At 38.4% G+C, this 13,170-nt stretch overlaps 2 annotated features.

Annotated features, from left to right (window-relative positions):
• Positions 7,389-8,588: an enhancer, noted in NCBI's record as "MED14-independent group 3 enhancer chr5:100112471-100113670 (GRCh37/hg19 assembly coordinates)". NCBI's record gives its function as "activates an origin of replication core promoter dependent on BRD2, BRD4, P300/CBP and CDK7 cofactors, and independent of MED14, by STARR-seq in HCT116 cells {active_cell/tissue: HCT116}" and the evidence as "EXISTENCE:reporter gene assay evidence [ECO:0000049][PMID:35650434]".
• Positions 8,360-8,429: an enhancer, noted in NCBI's record as "active region_22844". NCBI's record gives its function as "activates an Ori minimal core promoter by ATAC-STARR-seq in GM12878 lymphoblastoid cells {active_cell/tissue: GM12878}" and the evidence as "EXISTENCE:reporter gene assay evidence [ECO:0000049][PMID:35858748]".

The raw sequence follows: 13,170 nt of genomic DNA on the forward strand, positions 1-13,170 counted from the left end.
TTTGATTTGATTTGCTTGTGTGTTCCTTTTTAAGTTCCCCAAGTGATGTGAAAATGTAGCCAGGTTGGAAACGTCTAAAATAATCTATATCCTTTAATTTGAAGATTATCCTGAAATTCAGTGAGATTTTGATATCTTTGAGAGGTTTTCATTTCTTGACATGTTATGCTTCTAGTTCTTCTCCAATATTTCTGACTTCCTTTCCTCTTTCTCTAGCCGCTCTTTTCACACATTTGTCCAATGAGTCCAATCAGTGAAGTGACAGGTATGGCTAGCCATATGTAGAAAGCTGAAACTGGATCCCTTCCTTACACCTTATACAAAAATTAATTCAAGATGGATTAAAGACTTAAACGTTAGACCTAAAACCATAAAAACCCTAGAAGAAAACCTAGGCATTACCATTCAGGACATAGGCATGGGCAAGGACTTCATGTCTAAAACACCAAAAACAATGGCAACAAAAGCCAAAATTGACAAATGGGATCTAATTAAACTAAAGAGTTTCTGCACAGCAAAAGAAACTACCATCAGAGTGAACAGGCAACCTACAAAATGGGAGAAAATTTTCACAACCTACTCATCTGACAAAGGGCTAATATCCAGAATCTACAATGAACTCAAACAAATTTACAAGAAAAAAACAAACAACCCCATCAGAAAGTGGGCAAAGGACATGAACAGACACTTCTCAAAAGAAGACATTTATGCAGCCAAAAAACACATGAAAAAATGCTCACCATCACTGGCCATCAGAGAAATGCAAATCAAAACCACAATGTGATACCATCTCACGCCAGTTAGAATGGCGATCATTAAAAAGTCAGGAAACAACAGGTGCTGGAGAGGATGTGGAGAAATAGGAACACTTTTACACTGTTGGTGGGACTGTAAACTAGTTCAACCATTGTGGAAGTCAGTGTGGCGATTCCTCAGGGATCTAGAACTGGAAATACCATTTGACCCAGCCAGCCATCCCATTACTGGGTATATACCCAAAGGACTATAAATCATGCTGCTATAAAGACACATGCACACGTATGTTTATTGCAGCATTATTCACAATAGCAAAGACTTGGAATCAACCCAAATGTCCAACAATGATAGACTGGATTAAGAAAACGTGGCACATATACACCATGGAATACTATGCAGCCATAAAAAATGATGAGTTCATGTCCTTTGTAGGGACATGGATGAAATTGGAAATCATCATTCTCAGTAAACTATTGCAAGGACAAAAAAACAAACACCGCATGTTCTCACTCATAGGTGGGAATTGAACAATGAGAACACATGGACACAGGAAGGGGAACATCACACTCTGGGGACTGTTGTGGGGTGGGGGGAGGGGGGAGAGATAGCATTAGGAGATAGACCTAATGCTAAATGATGAGTTAATGGGTGCAGCACACCAGCATGGCACATGTATACATATGTAACTAACCTGCACATTGTGCACGTGTACCCTAAAACTTAAAGTGTAATAATAATAAAATAAAAATAAAAAATAAAAATTAAAAAAAATTTAAAAAAGAACATTACGGAAGGAATAAATGAAAGTAATTTTAAAAAAAGAAATTAGGAATACAATAGTAACTGGAACATGACTGCTGCTTATATTAAGTGCCTTTTCAGTTATCATTTTTCATGACTTTAACCATAATCTTTATGCTTAACTCTTAAAATGATGTCCCTAGTCTGGCTCTCTCTGCTAATTCCCAGTACCACATTTCAACTTGCTTCTTTGATATTTTATCCTGGAGGAGTTGCTGTCATACAAACTCAGTATTTCTAAATTAAAACTTACCTTTCTTCCAAAATTCATCACTAGTTCTACAAATACAAAAGGGACACCTAACATACATCTTCTTCATGCAAAATCATTCATCTTGTTATTCCCATTTAAATGAATTTGACTCATCTCTGCTTGTCACCTCTGATGTGAAACTCTCTCCTAGGCTATCTGTGGTCCCAAGCACAACACAAGTCTATTAGCAATTAATTATCGCTTTCATTTTTCTGAGGAAGCAATAGTCTCAACTCAGGACCACTTTCATCTTTTTTCCCCTTTAGCTTTATTTCTTACTCATCACGTAAGCACAGATATCTAAAGTGGGAGAATTTTCCTTTAGCCAGGGGTTGGGGTTAGAAGGTGGGAGATGGGAAGGCATTTTCCTTCTTTTAAATTTTGATATTTTTTCTCTCCCTAAAAGTCACTATTTCTATTGTAATATTTGCCTCAAACACTGTATTAATAAATTTAGGCATGGGGCATGCAAAAGCCAGAGACTGGCTATTTCTTTACTAAAATCTCATCCTAAAACAGTGATGAATATACTGCTTGGTTTGGAAAATTAAGGTGGAAATAACAGGAGAAAAAACGTCTGCTAATAATACAGTATTGTTTTCAGCTGTATTTTAACCTCTTTGTGCTTTACTTCTTCAATAATAAAATAAAGATAACTGTACCCATCTTTCATAGTTATAAAGATTAAATAATACAACACTCGTTAAGTATTCTCATTTTTATCTTATCTGAATGTCATAGACTTCACCTTTAACATCAAATCAACTAATTGCTGTTTGTCACAAAAAGAATCAAGCAGAGAATACGCATGTTTAGGAAGAAAAATATCAGTTATGAGTAGAGTTGCCACAGGATTATCGTCCAGATGCGTTTTCTGCAATATTAGTGAAACATTACTCTCTTAGGGGCTGTGGAAGGGTTGCAGGTGATGCTGGGAAGCTAGATGTTCTAAAGCAATCCTAGAGTACTTGTCAGATGTCTTGATTAATTGCTGTTTTTGAAGCAGAAGTAAGAGCATCATATAACCGTGAACAAACACCAGACATCCAAATAAGCTCCCATCCAGTACAGCTCCACACCAGCCAAGGTACTCAGCTGTAAACTAGAGGTACTTGCTTGCCTTCTAAAGTCATCAATGAGCTTAGCCAACCAGCAAATGATAACAATAAACAACTATCCATGCATGAAACAAGAAATCAGAATTTTATACTTGTGTGCATGCTTAAGCTAGGAGAGATGCCAGTCATTGAGCTTTTTTAAAAAAAGAAAGTCTGTGGAAAAAACAAGATGGCTATTTAGAATCCCCTTCAAGACCCTGGGAAATGTACCCAGTGTCTTCCTAGCTCCACCAGTTTCTGCATATAGTGGAAAGAAGCTGTGGCTCCTGGAAGCCCCAGGAAATAAGCTACCTGCAATATGCAGAACAATTAACCTAAAGCAGATTCTGGCTGGTAAATGTGGGAGATGTGCCTTTGTTTGGTCAGGCAGAGACTTCCCTGATGTGCTCCTGTTAAGATTTTTCACACACATTTGAATTGCCTGCATTCAGCTGCTCCCCTGGCAGAAGTATTCTAAAGGCCTCACTTCTGTCACCCTGAATGAGTAGCTGGGTTGAGAGGACTGAGAGGATTTGAGAGGATTTATGTGGAGTGGCAATGAAGAGATACCCCCACCTGGGGAGTGGGGATAGGGTGTGTCTCTTCGTAGCTCCTCCACATTCTGCAGTTTGCTCGCAGTTCAATTATTTACTGAAAGTGAGTAACAAAATCATGTGTTTAGGCCTTTGATTAAAGAGAGGATAATGTTTTGTTAGATAAGTCAGCTGCAGAAATTCAGTCTGAATGTGGCTGCTGCCGCAGCTGAAAGGTTTTGATTTGGCTAATCACAGAGGTCTTTCTCAAACACTAACTAAGGACTCCAAGCAGAACAAATTCATTCCTGATGAAGTCTTGAAACCGACAACATGGAATAATTTGAATCACAGACCTGTAAAATTTGATCAGGATGGAATTAAACAACTCTCCTGAAGTGATTTGGCAGCCTATTTTAACCAAGGCACTACAGTGACACTGGGTAGCCAATGGAGGGTCATTTTTATCTGTAATCTTGCTCGGATTTCTGCTTCCAAAAGGAATTCTGAGGCTCATACCATGGAGGTTGTATTTGCTTGCCTGAAATCAAACTTGAAGATATGGCACAATACTCACTCGCATGCTCTATTCACTACCATTTATGGCTTCATCATTTTCAAAAGTGTCCAGACCTCTCTGGGATCCACTTATGTTAGGACCATATCTTGGGGGGTGATGGTACATATATATGTATTACCATCTGTGTGCAAAATAATTTCTTTTTATTTCTCCTACACTTTACATCTCATACATTTTAAAGGATTTAAAGTACACATAGATGGAGAGAAAATAGGAAATTAGCATAAGATCATCAGCCCAACCTTGAACTACACTGGCCCCAAGGTAGAAATTCTCTTTGAGTGGAATCTTTTTTCTTTTTTTTTGAGACGGAGTCTTGCTCTGTCACCCAGGCTGGAGTGCAGTGGCGCGATCTCAGCTTACTGCAAGCTCTGCCTCCCAGGTTCACGCCTCAGCCTCCGGAGTAGCTGGGACTACAGGCGCCCGCCACCACACCCAGCTAATTTTTTGTATTTTTAGTAGAGATGGGTTTTCACCGTGTTAGCCAGAATAGTCTTGATCTCATGACCTCGTGATCTGCCCGCCTCGGCCTCCAAAAGTGCTGGGATTACAGGCGTGAGCCACCGCACCCAGCCCTTTGAGTGGAATCTTAATGAAATATATTGACTCATTCACTTTTGTTTTCATAGTTTACTGGTCAGGCAATATTAGCTGGGCCTTCCGGGGACAGGGTAGATGAGAGGATAGAGTCTAAGTGGGAAGAGAGATTCCTCGAGTCCTACTCTAGATGCTGTAAATTCTGTTCTTGAATATAAGCAATTTGTACATTGTGATAAAAGACTCTCCTTTATCTTTGCAAGAAAATGTTAAAAATCATTATTAAACCATTTTACCACAAAAAGGTGCAACATCGAAAAAACATATTTTTAAATATTATGATCTACTTTCTTAGATATAGGTGTAATGAAGGAAACTTTCTGAGGATGGTACATAGGACAGAGCTCATCAAATTTTAGAAGGTGTATGTGGTGGTGGGATGAAGGGTCAAAATGGCAGCCGATTACAAAAGAAAAGAAGATCTAAAAAAATCAATATCCAAAATGGACAATAAAAAATAAAATTACTGAATTTCAAAGAAGGAAAGTGAGTAGGAGGTTTAAGAGAATGATAAAATGAAGATGATCCAAAAATGTGGTATAAAAATTGTGCATTTTTGAAGCAAACATCATATTATATTTTATTGATAGACCTTACATGTTACTGATGCTTGGTGACAAGAGAAATGTTATTGCTAGAGCAAGGAGTCTGTGGGTGGCAAGCCACCCAGGCGCCGAGGCAAGAGACCAAGGACATGAGCTGTTCCAGTATAATAAAATATAAAACAAGAATAGTTATACCAGATATAGAGCTTAGATATGATTATATATGAATATCATTAATCATTAGTTGGTAGTAATTACTCTTTATCCCAATATTATAATAATCCTCGCTCTATAATCATAACCTAGGAAAAACCAGGCCACACAGAGATAGGAGCTGAGGGGACATAGTGAGGTGTGACCAGAAGACAAGAGTGAGAGCTTTCTGTTATGCCCGGACAGGGCCACCAGAGGGCTCCTTGGTCTGGCGGTGACGCCAGCATCTGGGAAGACCCCCATTGTCAGGCGGACCGTGGTCTAGCGGTAGCGAAAAGTGTCAAGGAAAACCATCCGCTACTTAGCAGACCGGGAAAGGGAGTCTCCTTTTCCCTGGGGGAGTTTAGAGAAGACTCTGTTCCTTCACCTTTTGTGGAGGGCCTGACATCAGTTAGGCTTGCCGGCAGTTATCCGGAAGCCTAACCGTCTCCCTGTGATGCTGTGCTTCAGTGGTCACACTCCTAGTCCACCTTCATGTTCCATCCTGTACACCTGGCTCTGTCTTCTAGATAGCAGTAGAAAATTAGTGAAAGTACTAAAAGTCTCTGATATGCAGAAATATGGCATAAGCTGTCTTTCTCTTTGTCTCCTCTCTCTCTCTGCCTTGGCTGCCAGGCAGGGAAGGGCCCCCTGTCCAGTGGACACGTGAACCACGTGACCTTACCTATCATTGGAGATGACTCACACTCTTTACCCTGCCCCTTTTGCTTTGTATCCAATAAATAACAGCGCAGCCAGACATTCGGGGCCACTACTGGTCTCCGCGCGTTGGTGGTAGTGGTCCCCCAGGCCCAGCTGTCTTTTCTTTTATCTCTTTGTCTTGTGTCTTTATTTCTACACTCTCTCATCGTCGCACACGGGGAGAGACCCATGGACCCTGTAGGGCTGGTCCCTGCAGGAGTCAAACAAATCGCTGGCTTCTCACAGCAATGAACAGGGTCTCTCACTTCAAGTTATTTATCCAGTGGCATTACTTCTTTGTGTTTTCTGAGGCATGCAGAGTGACATTGTGGGTAGAGGCCAGAGGGTGCTAAAGCCTGAAAGTGTGACATTTGCCTACAAATGCATATAAAAATGCACGTGCTCAATGTTTAAAACAGCTTTTAAATTCAAAGGAAATTCTTTTTAAACTAAGCTTTGCTCTTCAAAATGTTGTAAAAATTCCCAGGGTAGAAGGAGGTCCCCTTTTTAAAAATTTTCATTAAGCAATAATCCATTCCGATAATAAGCATCAAGAAAAGGAAATTAGGTCTACTAACGTGACACATTTCCTTTAATATATATAACTTAGTTCCTTTTTTTTTTTTTTTTGAAGATGCAGTGGCACAGGTAAAGAAATACAAACTTTTCCCTACCACAACTCTACCCTAAAGCTTAAAATATTTTTAAATGTCTCTGATGCATTTACTCAAAAATATATATTATTTATATTTTAAGCTACCCAGTCTATGGTATTCTGTAACGGCAGCCTAAACTAAGACATGATTATTCTTAACAAATCACAATGTTTCTTTGCCATAATTATATATATTATATACACTTCTTTCACAAACCATTGTTTGTGAAATATAAGGCTCATACAAGAGAGGCTGATTGAAGAAGTATGTATTGCTGAGTCACAACAGCAGAATACAAAAAAAATTTGGTCTCCTTTAGTGAATTCTAATGTCAACATTAATTTAAAGGAGAGAAGAATGCTCTTAATAAGTTTGGAAGCATTTATTTATTTGTGGTTTGTTGTGGCTTAAATGTTTGTATCACCGCCAAATTTATATGTTAAAATCCTAACCCACAATGTGATGTAATTAGGAGATGAAGCCTTTGGAAGGTGATTGGGCCATAAGGGTGGAGCCCTAATAAATGGGACTTGTGCCCTTATAGAAGAGACCTTGAGTGCTCACTCCCTCTCTCTTCACTATGTGAGGATACTGCAGGAAATCAGTCATCTGAAAATCAGGAAGAAGGCCTTCACTAGACACTGAATTTGCTAGCACCTTGATCTTGGACCTCCCAGCCTCTGGATGGTGAGAAATAAATGTTTGTTGTTTGGCAGGGTGCAGTGGCTCACGCCTGTAATCACAGCACTTTGGGAGGCCAAGGCAGGTGGATCACGAGGTCAGGAGTTCAAGACCAGCCTGGCCAACATAGTGAAACCCCGTCTCTACTCAAAATACAAAAATTAGCTGGGCATGGTGGCACGCACCTGTAATCAGCTACTCAGGAGGCTGAGGCAGGAGAATGGCTTGAATCTGGGAGGCGGAGGTTGTGGTGAGCTGAGATCACACCACTGCACTCCAACCTGGATAATAGAGGAAGACTCCATCTCAAAAACAAAACAAAACAAAACAAAACAAAAAAAAAACAGTTTGTTGTTTAAGCCACCCAGTCTTTGGTATTCTGTTATATTAGCCTGAATTAAGTCCTGATTATTCTTAATAAATCACAATTTTCCCTTGCTATAAATTATTTTAAAATAAATTATATAAAAATGCACAGAAAATGAAGACCTTAATTAAAATAAATTGGAAGGCATTCCAAGTGCTATTAACATTAAGTGATAGGCCCATTTTCTCTGATTTACCAGAACAAAAGGCAAGTCATTTGACATTTCCTTGGCCTTAAAATATCCACCTGGAAATGGAGATGCTAATTTTAATGTAATTCAGATAACTGGTAACATGTATAACTAATATAAATGCTTATAACGTATTGTCCTGCATATACATTATTATGACAAATGTTAAAAGAGAATATTTTGTTTTTCTGATATTCTCATGTTGATTCCAGAGATAAAGACATACTGTTTAAAAGGAAGAATTTGGATCCTTGGGAAAACAACCAGTAAAGATTTTGACAAATATCTATAGACTTCCCACATTACTTACAAGTTGACTATAGACTCCATCACTGCCTTCAAGTATGATAAAATTGCTAATTTCATGGGGTATGTCTAAGCTCTTTTCTTTGGTTTCTCTGAGGTACTTTTTAAATGTTTATTGGGGCTATCTTAAAACTATCTTCCTTTGATTCTTCTGAAGTTGCATTTTAAAGTTTTGCTTCCCAGTGACTCATGCTTTCTTCATTTCCTGTTTCAGCTTCTCTTCTGCCGTCTGCTCCATAAATGGGGCCCTCTGCCAAGTTTCTGTTCCCTTTCTATGTTTTCTCTCTTATACATTGTATATACCTCTATGGCTTTAAATGTTGCTACTAAGTTAAAGATTTCTCAATTCATTTATTTGGCAGCATATCTCTCTTGGTTCCAGTTAAAATTTCAGCTCCCCATCCGTAAGCTTTACATGTGCATCCTATGTAATATTTCTGGCTTCCAGCCTGTTCTGATCATGTTGCACTTGGAGAATACCTTTTCCTTGGTGAATTTGCTTCCTGATTCTCCCCGCTGAATAGCAACCACATCTCTAATTCAAACCTCTCGGCTCCAGATCAGTACATTCAATATTCAACTGGTTCTTTAATAATTACACATTAACACAAAAAAGTTACAGCAGTTCAACTTACCATACACAGGGTTCTTGATTTACCACTCTTCAATCTGATTCTTTTCTGGTGTCCTTTGCCTCAGTGAATTATATCACTCTCTATATTGTTTCACAAATTAGAAACATGGGCGTTATCTTTGACTTATCCACATGTGCAATACAATACAACCATCACCACTGATTTAATCAAAGCTACCTTAATGTTTCCCCCATATTATCAGAAAGCTTAACAATTCTCTTCATATAAGCACTTATTTTCTTCTCTCCTCTGCTTTCTTTACTGCAACTACACTCAGTTTCCATTTCCTTTCTCTTCATTTATCTGAAATTCTACTCATTCTTAAAATCTCAGTTTATGGTCCAATTCTTCAAAAGTTTCCATGATTTCTACTGGCCGTCAAATTTTATTTTAATTTATAAAGTAGCAATATCTTGGAAAGCTAATGTGCTTTCATTTAGACCCATTTCACAGATGAGAAATTTAAGGCTCAAAAGGAGATGTCATATGCCTGAAGTCCCCTAGCTACTCAGTAACAGAGCAGGGGTTTGAAAACAAGTTTATGTCACTTAAAATTCAGCCTGGTCTGCAATATTACCTCCCACAATGTTCAATCTTGTCTCTAATGTTTTAGTGTTATTACTATGGTACTGTTTTTGTGTTTCCATTGTTTCATATTCTCATCCGGAGTAGAAACTCCCAGAGAGAGGAACCATTGCTTCATTTGATCATTTAACAAATGCTTTTGTCTATTATATACCTGACATTACACTAGGACCTAGGAATACAGAGCTAACATGTCAAATTTAACAATAACTAATTGTCTCCATGATAAAAGATACTGTTTGGCAGGTCTAAATAATTACTAATAAACCCCTAATATTCTCTATTTTAATGTTGACTATTAAAAATCTGCATCAGATATAGCTTTTTATAAAGCCAGTTATAGAAATCTTGAAAAAGTGTTTTGGGATATAATTCTGATTTGGAAGATATAAATAAATTCTTTTTAAAAATATCCTGATGAAATACTCAGAGGTACAGTCAATTTTTATATACCATTTAAGGTATTATGTAAGGTTCAACATAGATGACATGTTTAACAGTACATATTATAGAAATTCACAGACTGAGTTCAGAAGTGATTAAATAGATATCAATATTTGTGACATAGGCATAGCTTTCTTGTGATTAATAGGTGGGTAGTGGGTTCAATGACTGAAATGTTCAATAAAAACCACTACTGTTAAATCTAGTAAAACCATGAAGGTGTAATATGGCCTGCTGGGAATTCTGAATGACCTAAGCGCCTCCTCCTTAACTCATTGCCCACAGGATACTGGGACAGAACAGATGGAGTCGATCTAAGTATTAGGATGCAGTAAGGGCTGTAAATGAGTCCAGACTAGTTGATATTTCTGGGACTGTGAATATGCCTGGGAATTTCAGTGTATTCTCAATGGCCAAATCATCCATATTTCGTGAATTTTCATTATGTTAAAAAAGTAGTCAGTACATTCAGAGGCGTTAGCGTTTCTATGCTGTTGCTCTGTCATTAGTGGGCAGCCTATCTAGGGGCGATCTGCCTGTCTAGGACACAACTGTTAATTGATTGTGCCATATGTGTTAGACCATAATGTATATATACCTAAATTAGTCAGGGTGTTTGGGAGATGTTTTGCCTGGAGTTATCAGTAAGTACTGGCTTGGCCTGGTGTTGTTTATGCCTTTGTATTTTGTTGTTGTTGGGAGAGGTAGCTCAAGAGAGGCCATTTCCTTATTGAAAGTGCATGTCAGGATGGAGGTGAGGGTGAGTGCACTTGCTGGTGTCTACTAGGGATCCACTTTTGCCACATAAGCAATGTCCCTTACATTGCGCCACTCTGGTCATGTTGAGAAATTGCTCAATTTCTGTGACGAAAAAGGGATCTGCACGCTTACAGCCAGTCTCTATCCCAGAATATCTGAAGGTAAAAATGAGAGGTGAGGGCCACCTCAGGGATTAGCTACCATGGAAGTTCTCTCAGGCTGAATTCACTCTGAGCTGTTGGTGATCTACTGAGTGGGGGGTTCATCTTCACTGTCTTCTTTGTTATTTTCACAGACTCCCAACTTCCTACAACTCCTCCTTTTTCTGAGTGACTCCTGACTTTTGCGATCACAACTATTCTCTCCTATCTTTGTGCTATTTTGTAGACAGACTGTGAGTGAGCACAGCTAACTTGTGAGCCTAGTGTAACCTTAGGAATCAAACTTCCTGCCTTTAAGTTCCTGTTTCACTTTTCACTAATGTAGCTTCAGATCTTTCAGAAGTAAAATGAGATGATACGTGCTGTAAGGACTAATTAAAGTGCATGCAAAGCACTTAGCATTACACATAGAAGAAAGTTAGCTTCCAGTCATTGAAAGAAATTATGGTTTCTTTTTTGTTATTTAGAAGAAATCTTTAAGGTGATTTGAAAGTATGATTTGGGTACGATTTTCACACAAAAAGGGGAATTCGTGATCATTTCCTGTCCATCATCTAGGTAAAAAACACCCTAGAGGTTTACAAAGTACTCTAGGAGGGAATGGAATGTATCACAATGAGAGTGATATTTAGACTGAGTCTTGGGTGATGAACAAGTGTATGTCAAATTAAAGAGATAGGGCAGGAACATAGAAAAATAATAAATAGTATTAAGAGATAAGGCAGAAACAAAGAAAAATAATAATTAGTATGTGGAGGTAAGAGTGAATTTTGTTCTGTCTAGGAACTAAATCTTAGAAATGTAGAAATAGATTTATGAATGAAAAAACAAACAGATAGGAAAGATATTGCCCCATCTCAGTTGGGAGTCAGATAATGGAGGATTTGTCAAGGCAAATCAAGTAGGGCTGAATTTTTCAGAAGGTTGATGGTTGTTAAAAGCAAAGCATAGGTATAATCAGCTTTGTCTTTGTATCTGCCTTTATGCGAGAATAGATTGTGGGGTCAGGAAGACCATCATAAAAAATCTTGTCATTATTCAGGTGAAAAATTATAGCATCATGAACTATAACAGTGGCAAAGTGACTAGAGAAAAATCTATATGTTTAGGAGGTATTAAAAGTTTTAGTGAATGGTATTTCATTATTTGTAAAGATTGAAGAAAATAGATGGCTCTCAATTTTGGATGGGTGGATGAGTATGCCATTTAAGATAGAAACATTAAAAGAAGGAAAGGGATAGAAATGGGGTAAAATATTTAGCTTTGAATATGTTGCATTTGCCAATAGGCAGTCATTTCTATGTGTCTTGAAGTGAGGAGACTGGTCTGCACTGAACGATCAGATTATAAAGATATAGGTATAAAGAGGCCACCACTAAAACCATACAAATGGAAGAGATTGCCCATAGAGAATATATAGCATGAGAAGAGGTGAAAGAGAGTAGCTTACCTGGATTTAGTGCCCAGCAGTGAACCCTGTATGTGGTTGATATTCATCAAGTCCAAAAATAAACTTTGATAAAAAATGAATAAATCTGTTCGATTTTAGGGGTCTTCTCAGAGCAAGATGGAGTTTTGTATATTAAAATGTTTAGTTTGGTGTCAGCGTCTGATCTGATTTGGTCTATCTCTGCAATGTAGAAATTGGCTCATGATGGCCTGTCTCCTTGCGATGGCTTTAAGGGAAGGGCACTGTGACACTTTCCTTGTAAATTGGGCCACAAGATTCCAACAACAGATACCACTAGAAGTTGTCATTCAGAGAAAAAAATGACCTGTTAAAAATATAGATTTACCTTGGAGATGTTGCAGGTTTGACTTCAAATCACCACAATAAAGTGAGTCACACAAATTTTCTGGTTTTCTAGTGCATATAAAAGTTATGTGTACACTACTTTTACTTAATAGACTATCCTGTGGTCTGGGGGTCCCCAACCCCTAGGCCTCGGACTGGTACCAGTCAGTGGCCTGTTAGGAACTGGGCTGCACATCAGGAGGTGAGCAGCAGACAAGCAAGCATTACCATCTGGGCTCTGCCTCCTGTCAGATCAGTAATGGCATTGGATTCTCATAGGAGCATAAACCTATTGTGAACTGTGCATTCGAGGGATCTAGGTTGTGCACTCCTTATGATAATCTAATGCCTCATATTCTGAGGTGAAACAGTTTCATCACCACCCTACCATCCACCACTCCCCACCCCTGTCCATGAAAAAAACTGTCTTCCCTGAAACTAGTCCCTGATGCCAAAAAGGTTAGAGACCACTGCTGTAGTCTATTACGTGTGAAATAGCATTATGTCTTTAAAAATGTGTATACCTTAATTTAAA

This window comes from Homo sapiens, chromosome 5, assembly GCF_000001405.40.
Source record: "Homo sapiens chromosome 5, GRCh38.p14 Primary Assembly".
NCBI classification, from domain to species: Eukaryota; Metazoa; Chordata; class Mammalia; order Primates; family Hominidae; genus Homo; species Homo sapiens.